The following is a 15,630-nucleotide window of genomic DNA, read 5'->3' as shown; positions in this document are numbered from 1 at the left end:
CCGTAACCCAAATGCATGCAGATATCAAGCAAAGCAAACTGGTAAAAACTATGGCCAACTGGGGAACACAAACTTCATCTAAAAGGTCAGCCACTTCTCAGTCCAGCCTAATATTTCCATGCCTGAATGCAAACCCAATGCTTCCTTCTGTCTTTTCAAAAAGAAGCCAGAAATTTAGACTTTCATGGTCAATTTCCCAATTTGTAAATGTTGTCAAAGAAAAAAAGAAAGAAAGGAGGAAACAAAGAGAGGAAGGAAGGAAGGAAGGAAGGAAATAAATTCTTAAACGTCATGCTGGCCAAAACATATATGTAAGCCAATTTGATCCAAAGCTGCCAATTGGCTCCCTGTGCAATTAAAAAAAAAGTCAAATATAAAATTGAATGTGTGTACTGATGCAAAAAAGGAGTATGAAACCCGATAATATCAGCTTGGTCAAATTAAATATGCATGTAATGCCCTAAAAATATGTATTTAATACATTGTTTATTAGAACTAACATAAAGAAATTAGAAAAAATATAGCTATTTATGTTTTACTCCTAAAGCCAATGCAAGGTTTGTGGTAAAACCTGATGATGATCATCTTCTATGAAACAGAATATTCTTTTCACACTCATAACAGGAAGCGAGCAAAGATGTGTTTAGGAACATAAATGCTGGATCCAGACTGCCTGAATTTAGATCTTAGTTCTGCCTCTTGCTGGGTGAATACCCTCTGATGTCTTCATTTGGATTGCTTCCCCAACCTGTCTGTGCCTCAGTTTCCTCACCTGTGAAATGGATATAAGAACAGCACTTACCTCATAGGTAGTTCTCTGACAATTCAATGACTTAATTATTATAAAGCATTTAAAACAGTGCCTAGCATATAGTAAGCCCTATATAAATATTTGTTAAATAAATTATGGCTTTTGTTCAACCAAAATTTTACTTCCTAAATACTTATAAAATATCATAAGGCAGGCTAATATTTTTTTTAAACGCTGCAAATTCAACTACAGGAAACCAAATTCTCTCCAGTGCTTTAAACTAGAGCTAAATGTCCAAGTGAATATTACTGTTGTTGGTGACAACTCTCCAGCACTTGGATATAATTCTAACAGAAGGAAAAAATGCAAGTTGTTGTCAGGGACAATTGAGTATCTGATGGCTTGATGGCTTCTGAGGTCTCTTTTATATATCCATAAACGTGTTATTTGTCTTACTTGGCAGTGAAGCTCATGGAAAACTGAACTCTCTCCCTAGAGTCCTTAGCTTTTTATTAGATTCAGGATTTCCTGAAGCCCATTCACATACCTCAAATTAAGAAGGCCCAAGTTAGGACATTTTATTATTTTGTTATTCTAGTTAGTTGATGCCTAAAGTGTAGGCAGGATGCCCTGGGACATGAGGTGCAGAGGTACGGGCCTTAGCAAGCAGTACCAGGTAGGAGAAATGGGAAGAAAGTCACTCTCACGGTCAAGGCTGTTTATTCCCTCTCCTAGAGGGCCGCAGGGTGAGAAGATATATGGCAGACACACCTGAGAGCATTAACTCAAGCATACCCTATGAATGACCTACCGTCTAAGAAAAATGTGTGTTAGGAGTTCTGAGCTAAGGAATCCGGGAGTGGCCAACCCAGAGATTCACTCCTTCTCTATGAAGAACATATGAATCCCTGGCCCATCCCTTAGAATGCAGGTCATGCAGAGGATTGAGGCCCTATGTTTTGGGTTAAATGGAGTTTGCTAGGTGGAGGTTGCTAGGTGGAGGGGGTTAAATGAACATTTTTATATAAACTCCATGATCTTTACAAGTGGTAGCACTTTTCCTGTCCATCCGACCACTCCCTGACTGCCCTGTATGTACGTCCTTGATAAAGTCTATATCTTATTCACTTGGGTCTCTTCTTTGGGCTCTTGGACATGGTGCATTGGTGCCTTCCCTACTGGAGTCAATAGGGGTCTGGCACCACAGTAGAGCACTTCTGTAGAATTAAGAAGCTTGAGGCTCTAGTCTGGACATTGGTACTAACAAGTTGTGTAATCCTGGCCAAGTACCTTCCACTCTTGGAGGAAGTACCTTTAGAAGGTACTTCCTTAAAATGAGGTGGTTTGACCAGGTGATCTTTAAGATGCTTTGAACAGTATGTGTCATCTTTATACTAGAGTAAAACTGTTACCGGAAAGGGGTCCCAATCCAGAACCCAAGAGAGGGTTCTTGGATCTTGTGCAAGAAAGAATTTGAGGTGAATCCATAGGGTTAAGTGAAAGCAAGTTTATTAGGAAAGTGAAGGAATAAAGAATGGCTACTCCATAGGCAGAGCAGCTCCGAGGGCTGCTGGTTTCCCATTTTTATGGTTATTTCTTGATGACATGCTAAACAAGGGGTGGATTATTAATATTCCCCTTTTTTAGACCATATATGGTAACTTCCTGACATTGCTGTGGCATTTGTAAACTGTCAGGCACTGGCGGGACTGCAGCAGTGAGGAAGACCAGAGGTCACTCTCATTCCCACCTTGGCTTTGGTGGGTTTGGGCTGGCTTTTTTACTGCAAACCTGTTTTATCAGCAAGGTCTTTATGACTTGTATCTTGTGCTAACTTCCTATCTCTGTGACTAAGAATGCCTTATCCTCCTGGGAATGCAGCCCAGTAGGGCTCAGCCTTATTGTACTCAGCCCCTTTTCAAGATGGAGTTGCTCTGGTTCAAACGCCTCTGATAAAAGAAAAAGATAAGTCTTGAAAGTATGTGTTTGGACCAGAAGAACGTCAAGGCTATACACATGGGTTACATTTTCAATGATTTATTTGTGTAATTTAAATAAGAAATATTGCAGCATGCTTCACTATTTAAACAGCACAAAAGATTGTATAATAAGGAAAAAATTATTTCTCCTCCTCTGCCTTCCACATACTTTGGTTCTGCTTCCCCAGGTTACCAGAGATATGTATACCTCTCCCCACTCCCCTTCCTATTTTTAAACTACAAATGGTAACAGATGTATATATTATTTTGCTTCTTGTTTCTTTCTTTATCAGGATATCTTAGAGGACGTTCCATGTCAGTACATATGCATCTTGTTTACTCTTTTTAAAGCCACATTTTATTTCATTACATAGATATACATATTACATAGAGATGAATAAAACTGTTTCCCTATTAAATAATATTTATATTTACAAAAGAGTCACCAGCATTTTGCATCGATGAGCAATTCTAAATAAATCCCTTTATACACCTCTTTGTACAGATGAACCTGATGAAAGGGAAGAGTATTTGGTTTTCTAGGGATTCTTAGATTCTTCATAATAGAGATTAAAAAGAGGAAATAGTATGTTTCTGCCTAAGGAAGTAGACTAAGTTCTCATTTAGAGAACTATTTAACCCATGTGCCTCAGACAATTAGATTTTTCTCCCTTTACTTTAGCAAGAAACAACATTTAGTTTTTTGTTTTAAAGAAAAAATTATCAAAAACTTTTAGGGGTAATAAGATGATTTCAAGACTCTCCTTGGGAAGCTGCTTGTTGTTCTGATTCGAGGCTGTCATTAGTGGGCTGTTTTTCAGCAAAATTGCACTAATATGTTTGACAGAAAACAAATAACAAACAGATTCTTCCAAAAATGCTAACCAGATTTTATCAAAGAATGTATACTCTCTGAAATATGTTGGCTCAATTTAGAAAGAAAAGAAGAATTTCATCATTTTCTTCCTTGGAACAAATACAATAAATAGCTTTGTTACTCTTAACTTTCCAACAAGTAAACGAAGACTCAGAGGCTATCCAATTTAAAATTATGTTTGGTCAAGAAGTCAACGTTGTTAAGAAAGCACTCATGTGGGTCACTTTTTTCTTTGATTAATTTGCTCACACATCTTGTAGCTTAAACAAACAACACACCACAGAGTCTAAAATTCCAAGAACTGGTGTGGATTTGAAGAAATATACACCCTAGTTTAATCCCTTTGCTTAAGAGATTGTGGGACGGAGGGGGGGGCTATGGCAATGCATAATTTGTTATAGATCTGTAACATGAGTAGTCCCAGACCTTATTAGTTTGTGTTTATAAATGGGATTAAATTAACATCATAACTTACACTTCATTGGCTCTAATTCATCTTGCCTAAGACGTTATAGGGGTGGGAAAAATGACTTATCGCTACCTTCTTAGGTTCTTTGGCTGGGCTATGAATTAAGTTAACATAAATCAAATCATTGGGAGAAAAATAATTTTAATTATGCACATATGCCAGGGATACCCACAAAAATATGAGACTGTAAGAAGGAACAGATGATTAAAGCTCCCTGAGTTAGACGGAATAGGAGTTTGGGGCTGCTGGGGTGATGGTAGCCACAAATTATGGGAGTGTGAGAGGAGGAAATGTATGGTGAATAAAAGTTGTCTTGTTATGCAAATAAGAGCCCCGAGGTGATAAAAGTTGTCATAGGAACAGCTTTCTTCCTGGTACAAATACCTATATTAATGAAAATTTCCTTTATAGATAAAAATTTTCTTTACAAAAGGGCAACTATTAAGAGCCACTCTTGTGTCCACAGTTTCTCAAAGTAACAAGCTCAAAATAATCAATATACCAAAAAGGCATATTTTGGGGTGGCCTATCCTGGTCTTCTGCAGTCATATGTTGGGGTTTTCCCTGCAAAACTTGCATCTAGCTCTGGATTGGATTTGGTCTTCTAAGCACTACACCATCTCCTCATAAACACAGATCTGACATTTGCCTGGAGTCCTCTTTTCCGTGACTCAGATGACCCAAGGACCAACTGGGGAATCCCATATTTCAGACAGATACCAGGCTGTCTTCATCACGTTGGAACTGCTCCACCCCCTAAGAACCCATGTAAAGTCTTTTTCTCCAGCAGGTGTCCTCTTGCTAATAACAATTCATCGAACCTATTCGAAGTAGTCTGAAACCTATTCAAAATAATTCAGGATAGGCGAGGACCACTCTCTTACTCTCCCATACCCTCCCCTATCCTCTACTCCTCTCCAACGCTCCCAACCCTACCTTTTCAACAACCACATTATACATCAGAAAATTCTTTTATTTGACTCTGATTAATAATTACCTTGATCCTACAAAGTAGTGTTAATACCTTTCAGCAATAAATTAAGAAATTTTCCTAGATATACAAAATTATCAATACAACCAAAATAATTTTCTTCTAGAACCTCCAAATTTTTAAAACATTCATGTCAATTACTCTCCCAATAGTTGTTTCCTAGTATATCAATTTTTGTATAGTGTTTATTACATTTTTGCAAGTACGTGTGTACTCCAGATTCTTAGAGCATCTTTATTCTAAACTCTCTCAGTAATCAAATGTTTTGTTTGGTGAATTCTCACTGTGCATGTGAAGCCAGACCTTGAGGTGTGGTACTGCTAGGGAATTTCCAGTCACCAATTATTAGAAAACACTCTGCCTTCAGGTACGTGCCTGTGCTTTCACATATATTGGCAAAATACCATGATCAATAGCTGTTGAGAGGCTTCATTGTTTGTTTGTTTTTTACTCCCTTGAATTATTCTTCTAGCCTGGCTAGAATGTTCCTTTTGTCTTGTGACTATAATTAGCCCAAAGAACTTGGAAGTTAAATCATCTAAATCTACTTGATTTATTTTCCTCAGTGTAAATGCAAATGATTTCTTTTTGTTGGGTTACTGTAACTGAACCCTTAAGGCCTTTCTCATGTCTCATGTCTTTTAAATGAAGCTTGGCCAACTTTGGCTTCAGCATTACATTTCTAAAATTTACTAGGTGGAAACATGTGACTGTATATGAAGATTGTGCATGAAAAATGGAATCTATCCACTAGAATTCTCCAAAACTCCTCCTAACAGACTCATTCTGGCTCAAAAATGAAATCACATGTACCATGAGTCAAAAGGTGACCCCTCCAGAGATGACAAATCTGAGTTCTGCCATACTATGCCAAACATTTTCATTGGCAAGCTCTGGGATTTCAGTGTGTGACCTCCTTAGGCCAACTTCTGCATCAAGTAGTAGGAAAAATATGTATTCACTATAGTCCCAGCTACTCGGGAGGCTGAGGCAGGAGAATCACTTGAATCTGGGAGGCTGAGGTTGCAGTGAGCTGAGATCACGCCACTGCACTCCAGCCTGGCAACAGAGCAAGACTCGGTCTCAAAAAAAAAAAAATGTATTCATGGGGCATACTTCTGAAGTCATGTGACAGCAATTATTAAACCCCAATAGTATAGCAAGAGTATGTGCTTGGCAGTGTCTTGAATGGGCATGACCTACATTTGTGGTCTTTCATTCCATTTATTCCCATCAAGCCTGGGTAATTTCTGTGATAGTAAAGCCAACCTGAAGCGAGAGTGTGACTAGAATTAACCCGAAGAACTTGGCAATTGCATCTTCTAAATCTACCTGACTTATTCTGCTCAGTGAAATGGAAATGATTTCTTTTTGTTGGGTTACTGTAACTGGACACTTAAGGCCTTTCTCATATCTCATGTCTTTTAAATGAAACTTTGCCAACTTTGGCTTCAGTGTTACACTCCTAAAATTCAGGAGGTGGAAACCTGTGACTGTACGTAAAGATTATACATGAAAAATAGAATCTATCCACTAGAATTCTCCAAAGCTCTTCCTAACAGAATCATTCTGACAAACATATTGTACCAATATATATATTATATATATATATTATATATACTTTATATTTGCTTTGCATCTGTTAAAATTGATTAAGCAGCAAGGCATGAAATACAGCTCACGGAGTTTTTTTAATAAGAAAGAAAAACTATACCCCAACTTGTGAAGATGTCTCTAAAATGTAGACAATATACTGAAGATGAGTTAACATTAAACTTAGGGGAAATGTTAAGCTTAGTAATAAACAAAGAGATCATTTGTAGCAAATAACGATCCCAGACTAGGAGAGTGCCACTATTTGCACACAGGGAAACTAAGCAGTCCACTCACTCTTCTTGTATTAGAAGCAGAATCTCTTCTTTCCAGAGAGATTGGAAGTCTATCCACAAAGATACTAATGGAATCCTTAAAGCCAGCTAATGCTACTTTATCTTACATGCTAAGGATCTTGGGTCACTCACATAACTTGTTGGGGGCTCAGAAAACATCATTGCATAATATGCCCCTTTGTATGCAAACTGAGAGCATCTGGGAAGTAGCAAATGCAGGGAAGGGAAGGGCTTTTTCTGAGGCTCCTCCGTCTAACTAAAGGCCAGATCTTTCAGAAGATAGTCAACTTCTGTAAATTTCTTCCCCACATATTCTCATCAACTAAAGGAAATTGATGCATATCACAGGAAGGAAGACTGGAGTTGGCACCACACCAGAGGCCAGGAGAACTTTGTCCTGGACAACTGTCTGTTCTTCAGGCCCATTCACCTCTCTTAAATTTATTTACTCTTCCCCTAACATTGCCTACAGCTCTCCTATGAAGAGGAAGGGTGTTTGAGCTTCAACCATCTGGCCTTTGTTTGAGTCACATATTTTGTGTGACTCCCATGCACAAGTGCACATAATAAATATGTATAGCTTTTTTCCTGTTAACCTGTCTATTGTCAGTTTATTTCAGCAGACTCAGTTATTGAACCTTCAGAGGAAATGTTTGAACTTTCCAACAAACCTAAAACTCTCTTCATCCTCCTTCTCCCCTTACCGCACCTTTTGTTATTCTCCTTCATTCATACATTGAACAAATAAACATTTTCCTCACAAACCGAAATTCCCACTCTTCCTCTCCTTCTAAAAGACTTTACAACGATCATTTGTGTAAGATGACCAGAGAAATGGTTATCCAAACTGGCATGTTATAGACAGAACGAATGGTCAGCCAGACAGGATCCCAAGGCATTAAGCAATAAAACATGACTTCTATGAAAACAGGAACTTATCCTCCCTATGCACAACTACTTAACAATCAAGCTTCTCTACATCTTTAATCTGAAACTTACCTACCATTTCCCCTACCATCCTCTCAAAGGCTGGAGAGGAGATTGTGTCAGCATTCTTCTTACTCTCCAGTGCTATGTACTGAAATCTTTTTTCTTTGAAACACATTCCATGACTCTGTCTGCTCCTTTCTCTCTCTCTCTCTTCCTTACTCTCTTCTTTTCCCTTCTACTGTATTTCTTTAACAAATTTGGCTACTGTTTACTAAAGCTTCTTACATCTTGTTCAGTTTTTCTCTCCATTTTTTGCATGACTTCAATATGCAAGCAGAAAACCTGTTCCATAACATAACCTTTTCCTTAGCATAACTGGTCTGTTTCATCAAAACTCCCATGAGAGAGCAAGGGAAAGTGTGCTCATTGAGTGCATTCTTCAGCTTAGTTTTCCACAAAGAAAGTTATGATTCCAAAGACTTTCATACATTTTGGGTAGTCTCACATCGTTTTAGTCTGTGTTAGTGGTACTTTTACCCATGGAAGTCTCTAAATATTTTTTTGTAATTTTCCTGTGAATCTGATTAGCATACATGTCATTTGGCAAAATTCACACCACTGGCTACAGAAAAATAAAGATCAAGCTTTTAAAGAATGAAAGTTAGTTTTACTCAGAATTCTTACTGAGGACTAACCAGCGGGGCCTCTGTAGCCCTAGAGCAGTTCCGTCAGACTGCTGCAGCCCAGTATTTCATCCCACTGCTCATATACAAGTAGTGAGGGTTCAGTATGTGTGAAATCACATTAAACTTGCTCAGAAGTTACACTGAGGCAGAATCATATCAAGGTTTGAGTGTAAGAGCATATCTGGTTATAGATTACAGAGGCGTAATTACTAACCCCTTGAGATGTTTTTTATTTGCAGGGAAAGGCAAGGACTAGAGTCATTTATCTTTTAAGGAATATAGTGACACAGGCCAGAGACATGGGGGGCTGCGTGCTCTATCCTGTTTTGTGTTCAAAGCATTTCTGCAGAGAGCTGCACATTGTTACAGAGGCAGGGGCTTTGTGAAATCATGCTGGCAAGCAGAAATGAGTAAACATGTCTTCTTACATTTGTTCCTTTATCTCACAACACCCATAATTCTTTTGAAACAGGCCCTGTTCTCTAGACTCAATCAGTGCTACTTTGATTAGGTCAGGCAGCTGGGAGATGAGACCCTTATGATTCCTAGCAGACTTTTGTAGGCTCAGAGGTATACCATGGACCACTTTAATTCCTTCAGAGGTCTTAACAAGAGTTCTTTCATCCACACGCTTGATTTGATCATTTCCTTAATCCCAATATTACTTTGATGAATTTTTAACTGACTCAACTAGATGAAGATGATAAATAGCTTTATTTTTCCAACCGTGTAAGTCCTAGTTCCTCTCTATTCCCTCTAAATTCTGCTTGCAAAGTGGCCAGTGTTTTGTCTGTCTCATCTGTTTTATGTAGCATTTTATCATCTGCAGCTAATAAAAGATAGTTGACCATTTTAATATTTTGTGTAGAAATCTTCTTGCTCAAATCCAAAAAGTTTATTTAAATACATTTTTCGTTTTTGCAGTTACCACAGGTGACAGTTTTACACGTTTTGTCACTATTAATGGGACACAATTTTTCCAGTTTGCTATGGCAGTTTCCTTAGTTCTCTTCCAGCCTTTGCTAAGTTTCCTTGCCACTTTAAAGCCTATGCTTGTCACCTGAATCAGAAGCTGGTGCCACGTACTTCAAGGGTTTGTTATGCCAGAATTCTGCTTCAGGATACCAAATTCCATATCAATTATTTATTACCACAATGTAGTGCTGCATAACAAATCACCCCAAAACTTAGTGGTTAAAATGGAAACCATTTAGTATTTCCCACAGATCTCTGGATAGCCTCGAACCCTTGCAAGCTATGAAAATGGCACTAACATATTTATTAAATAAAAAAATTGTTAGAGCTAAATATTTCACTGAAACTCCAGAGGCATTCTTTAGGCTTTGTATAGTACATGGTTTAAATTTGTTCTGAGGAAATAAGGTCTCAACCGTGTCAATAGTGATGATAGTTTTTGGTACAATTCAAAGATTGTATGAAATATTTTCTGGATCTGACAAAATATGGAACATCCTGATAAAAATACATGTTTAATGTGACTTTATAACCACTTCAGATGCAATATAGAAATGAAACTAGACAAGATTTTATATGAACAAAATGCAAATTGATTTATAATAGATAAAATAGGTAATGAACTATGAGAGTTAGGCAAAATCACAGAAGGTACCCAAACATGGAGAAAATCGCTTTGGCAAAAATTGAAATATTTTGCTAGCCTTAGTTATTTATTATGAAGTTGTTTGGTACTAAAGATGTTAGCAAAATTTACAAAAAGGAAAAAAAAACAGGCTGATCTAAGATGGGCTATTGACTTTTTTAAAGTATATAATTTTTTTATTTTTATTTTTAGAGTTAAAATACATTCAAACAATGCAGCAAAGTGCTATTCCAATAAAATCTTTGGAATTTAAGGGAAAAGCAAAAACTTTTGTAATTTTGACTAGGAAGAAGAAGTTCATGTCTAAGAATCTCAAAAACAACTTTGCGTGTGTGTGTGTGTGTGTGTGTGTGTGTGTGATCTCACTCTGTCACCAAGGCTAGAGTGGTGCAATCACAGCTCGCTGCAGCTTCAAACTTGGGAGCTTAAGCAATCCTCCTGCCTCAGCCTCTGGAGTAGCTGGAACTACAGGAGTACGCCACTGTGTCTGGCTACTATTTTTCTTTTGTTTTTTTTTTGTTGTTGTTATTGTTGCTGTTGTTTTAGAGACAAGGTCTAGCTTGTTACCCAAGCTGATCTCCACCTTCTGTCTTCAAGTGCTCCTCCCAACTTGGTCACTCAAAGTGCTGGGATTGCAGGCATGAGCCACCATGCCTGGCCTCAAAAGCAAATTCTAATGAAAATATTTTCTGCCCAGTGTTTTTCAACATAGGGTTTGACTGAGGAGACTTTTGAAAAACTTGAGGAATGTATCATTGTTTTTGGTTTGCTTTATAATATGCTAGTATTGAAAAACTCAGAAGATGAAAAAATTAAGAAATACCATATATATTGTAAATATATATTGTATATATATAGAAAGAGAGAGAGACAGAGACACAGAGAGAGAGAGAGCTCTGAAAGAAAGTGGAAGTCATGATATACATTATAAGAAAATTTAAACTAGTTTTAAGAATCTGTGATAGTGATTTGTCATAACTGATCACATTCTAATGTTTTAACATGGTATGAAACATTTTTGGTTCATTTCTGAATCTAAGTATTGCTTTAAGAACTTTTATTGACAATTTTAATAGCTACTGACTCAAAAGAATAGTTTTCCAACTTAAAATAAATAAAAATGTTATTTAATGAAAACTCAAGAAAGATTATCTTCTCATTAGCTTCATTAGAATGCAGATTATGTGAAAATTTTGATTACAACAATGATATGTGATTTTGCTGAAATAAAGGAAAGTAAATTTCACAAAATATTTAAGATAATTTGTCTTTATATTACCATCTATCCAAAATTGCTAACCCTTCAGCAGAACACTCAGATGTATAACCGTAATTGTTACAGGCATCTCTATAATCATAGATGTATACATGAGTTTCTACTTTGTATTAGAAAGGTATATTTATATTATAAAGCTACATTTATTATATTTTCAGTTATATGAAAATATAGCTTTGCATGTATTTTTTAATTTTATTAGGGTTGGGCAGGAGCTAGAGATAAAGGTATTGGAGTCATCACTTGGATTCATAGACATGGATGAGCCGTAAAACTAATGGGGTCCTTAAAAATTATGTAATATAACCACTTCCTCTTAGATATTATGCCAGATGGTTTAACAGTAAAAAGAAGGCCTATCATGACTAATTTCATTTTGCTCCTAACCCCATCACTGCAGTCATTTCTTTTAGGTTAACTGCTTTTGCTTATCTCTGCATGTAGGCAAAGCGAACTATGAGAGGTATTTCATTTATAGTTTAAAGCAAGAATAATAATAGTTTCTTTCCCAGCACTAACCCCCTGAGGAGATAAGAGAGGATGCATGTGACTAACAATGTTATGCTAAAGATTTATAGGAACATTGTGACCTGACTTACATCATCCAAAGCCAACTGATTGAGAAGAAAGAAGATTGAGAACCTCCTCGGACCCTCACTGCCACCCAGATGTCCGTGGTCATAGGTCTATTGATCTTAATGCCCTCCCTCTTCCCCTAACATAAAAGGAAAATAAAATTCCTGAAATTCATATTTACTTAAGATGTTGCTTAAGGACACTAGTTTGTCATCTTCTCGGTTTGCTGGCTCTCCAAATAAAGTTGCCTTCCTTGCCCCAACACCTTGTCTCTGTACGTATTGGCTGTCATGCGGTGTATTAGTTCATTCTCACATTGCTATAAAGAAGTACCTGAGACTGGATAATTTATGAAGAAAAGAGGTTTAATTGACTCACAGTTTCTGCATGGCTGGGGAGGCCTCAGGAAAGTTACAATCACAGTGGAAGGCATAGGGGAAGTAAGCACACCTTCACATGGCTGGCAGGAGACAGAGTGAGAGCAAAGGGGGAAATGCTACACACTTTTTAACAACAAGGTCTTATGAGAACTGACTATCACAAGAACAGCAAGGGGGAAGGAAATCTGTCCCCGTGACCCAATCACCTCCCACCAGATCCCTCCGCAAACACTGGGGATTACAATTCAACATGAGATTTGGATGGGGACATAGAGCCAAACCACATCATGCAGTGAGTGATTATGAGCATTGGATTTGATTACAATGGCATTATTGTCCTGTTCAAAATGATCACAACTTGTTTGAATCACAGCTAAGACTAGAATTCCTAGTTTTTTCCATATAATGTTTGAATATAGGCTCTAGATTTTGTAACTTAAAATTCTTGAAATTAAAAGAAGGATCCTCAATTAATATTTAAATTGCAAGAATAGAATGCCTTAAATTAATTAAAATATTTTAATGAAAAATTGAAACCTCAACAAATATGCCTTCAGATGTGTGTGTGTGTGTGTGTGTGTGTGTGTGTGTGTGTGTAATGCCCATGTTCCAAGGCATTTTATATCTTAAAAATTTTATATCTTGAAAATTATTTCTTGTATTTGACATCTGATTAACCTTTCCTCAAATTAAAGTGCAGTTGACCCTTGAACAACATGAGTTTGAACTGTATGGATCCACTTATAGATGGATTTTTTCTTTCTTTTTTGTTTTTGGATTGTGTTCAATTGAACTCAGATCAAAAATGCGTTATTGAGGTGATGCAAAACACATGAAAAATAGAAGGCCAACTTTTTGTGTACATAGATTCTGCAGGGCTGACTGTGATACCTGAGGATGTGTGGATTTTGGTATACTGTGGAGTGGGGTCTTGGAACCAATCCCCCACATATTGAGGGATGACTATAAGTTATTTAAAAAATAATAATAAATTAAATAGGAAACCACTGAACTCATTGAAAGCTTATAAGTATGCATCAAAGGGAGTTAACATCTGTGTTTAAGGGAACAAAAAGGTTTTTATTCAGTACACAGCAAATTTCTCTGCAAGCCAAGAAACCACTCTTCACCTCTGGTTGCCAGTATGGTCTGAGTTTGCTTGGCAGGACAAGGTCAAACCTTGTAGACACACAGGCAAGTTAATCTTGAGATGGGTTTTCAGGGGCCACACTGAACCATGCTGGGTTGTTAGCAGGACTGGCCCAGGTAAGTCCATTACAAGGAGTGAGAGCCAATGGGGACAAGGAGCAGAGCCAAATGACAGCACCAAGGGAGCAACATCAGCCTCAGATTTATCGGGCAAGCATACAATCGCAGGCAGGAGCGTAGGCCAGATGTCAGGAATCAAGAACAGGAACAGACCAGGATATGAAGGGCCAACAGACAGCAAGAAATGATAGGATCAACTCCAGGGTACATGGACACAATCTAATTTGGTGCTGGCCACATGAAGCCAGAGATGGTCAGATCAGCTGAGTTCATGGCTCAGGGCATGGTCAGACAGTAGAAATGTAAAAAACGAGAAAAAAATCGTAATGACCAACTTCTTTTTTAAAAATCAGGTCTCTAAATACACCTAAAAAAAAGATCTAGTTGGTAGCCATATGTGCCATCCCTATCCCAAAACACCCCCGAAAAGAAACATTTTAAATAGCCATTTGTGTAATTAAATTCTTCATGAATTAATTTTGCCAAGTTGGATTCTTTGCCTCACTGTATCCAGAGGATATGTGCAGAAACCTCAAATGCCCTTTCTCTTGTCCGAGAAAGCTCTTGGAATATGTTCTTTTCTATTGGCCCGGACACAAGAACACTTAAAAATAAATTCTCAATTAAAGATTATAAAAGACAATCTAGAAGATTTCACAACATTTCCTTGATAACAAGTAAAAAAATTCAAATGTTTGACCAGAGGGAAATCAGGATGAAAATGTCAAACTCACTACTCCGGAGATATGCCAAAATGGAATAAGATTTTCTTTTGCCTCAGGTAAAATTGTGAAATTGTGTACAATTCCATGATGATTCATTTTTCTCTTACTATTAGCAGAGTCAAAATATAAGACAAATTATTAATGAACTACTACAAGTCATTTTCTCCCTTTGCTTTGTTGCTAAAAGTTCTCAATTTTATTTTTTATATTTAATTACTATAGTTTCTCAGCCCAAATATTTCCAGGATTTTACCCTTTAATTTTTCTTAAACCAAGGTCTCTCTTACAATCAACATGTATATTTATTGGAAATAGTCTCTTTTTTCAGAGGCTGTTATTAATTTCAATATGCCACTCAGAAATGAATGAAGAAATTATAACGTTAAAAATTACAATACTCTTATAAGAAAAGGAATTCAATGAGACATATCTAGATTAGTTAACAAATTCTAAATTTTAATGTAGAGATTCCTTTGATGTACATATTTTAATTTAACAGTAAAGAAGGTAGATTGAGTACATATATTTACTCTCTCTGCCTCTCTGGTTTCCATTAAAATCATAGCAAAGAGCCATCTAAAAAAGCATATCAACCAAAGACAAAGGGAAAAGGAAAGAAAATGACAGTTGCAAAATTTTGGAAGCTGTAATATGAATGAGTGATACTGACTTAGCAGAAGCAAAGCTAAATTCTGAAAGTTAAATCTCAAGACTGGGCAGAAGAAATAAGTAAATATTTGAATTCATGCTGCAAACCCTTAAATGCATAGGAATTGAGGATATCAGACAGCTCTGGATATAAAGAAGAAGATAGGACAAAAACTGGAAGATTGGTTGAAAGTATCTTCATGTTATATGCCAAGTCCATGCAGCTAAACAACTGTCCTCTCCTGCTGGAGGCTACAGGTTTATTCTCTGGAGTGTAAAATAGAGGATCTCTGGGCTGGTAGACAGCAGGCACAGATCGAGGTAAGGAATCACATCAGTTCCTGCCACTTCCCTCCAAAAAAAGATAAAAATATTGACACCAGGACTTCCCCCAATGAAATGGCCCAGACAGAATATCAAGCGGTAAAGCCACCAACCAACTACTCCTCTCCATTTTTAGTGTCCTATTCTTAACTATGAGAAAACAACCAAGGGTCACAAAGCATCAAAGAAAGAGACAAAAACAAACAAATAGATAAAAGCAGCTTTTATGCAACAGAGGC

General features: G+C 37.1%; 1 protein-coding gene and 1 long non-coding RNA gene across 2 annotated transcripts in view; one reads left to right on the top strand and one right to left on the bottom strand.

Annotated features, from left to right (window-relative positions):
• The window catches only part of LINC02066 (long intergenic non-protein coding RNA 2066), a 105,814-nt gene extending 93,286 nt beyond the window's left edge, over positions 1-12,528 (bottom strand). The window contains exon 1 of the long non-coding RNA NR_183765.1: positions 12,424-12,528. This is a non-coding gene — a long non-coding RNA (long intergenic non-protein coding RNA 2066). The remainder of the gene's footprint in view (positions 1-12,423) is intronic.
• The window catches only part of IGSF10 (immunoglobulin superfamily member 10), a 187,494-nt gene that overhangs the window by 55,241 nt on the left and 116,623 nt on the right, over positions 1-15,630 (top strand). The window lies entirely within an intron of this gene.

The sequence above is a fragment of the Homo sapiens genome, chromosome 3, assembly GCF_000001405.40.
Source record: "Homo sapiens chromosome 3, GRCh38.p14 Primary Assembly".
In the NCBI taxonomy this organism is placed as follows: domain Eukaryota; kingdom Metazoa; phylum Chordata; class Mammalia; order Primates; family Hominidae; genus Homo; species Homo sapiens.
Note: the sequence above shows the minus strand (reverse complement) of the source record. Positions and strands in the feature narration are given on the sequence as shown.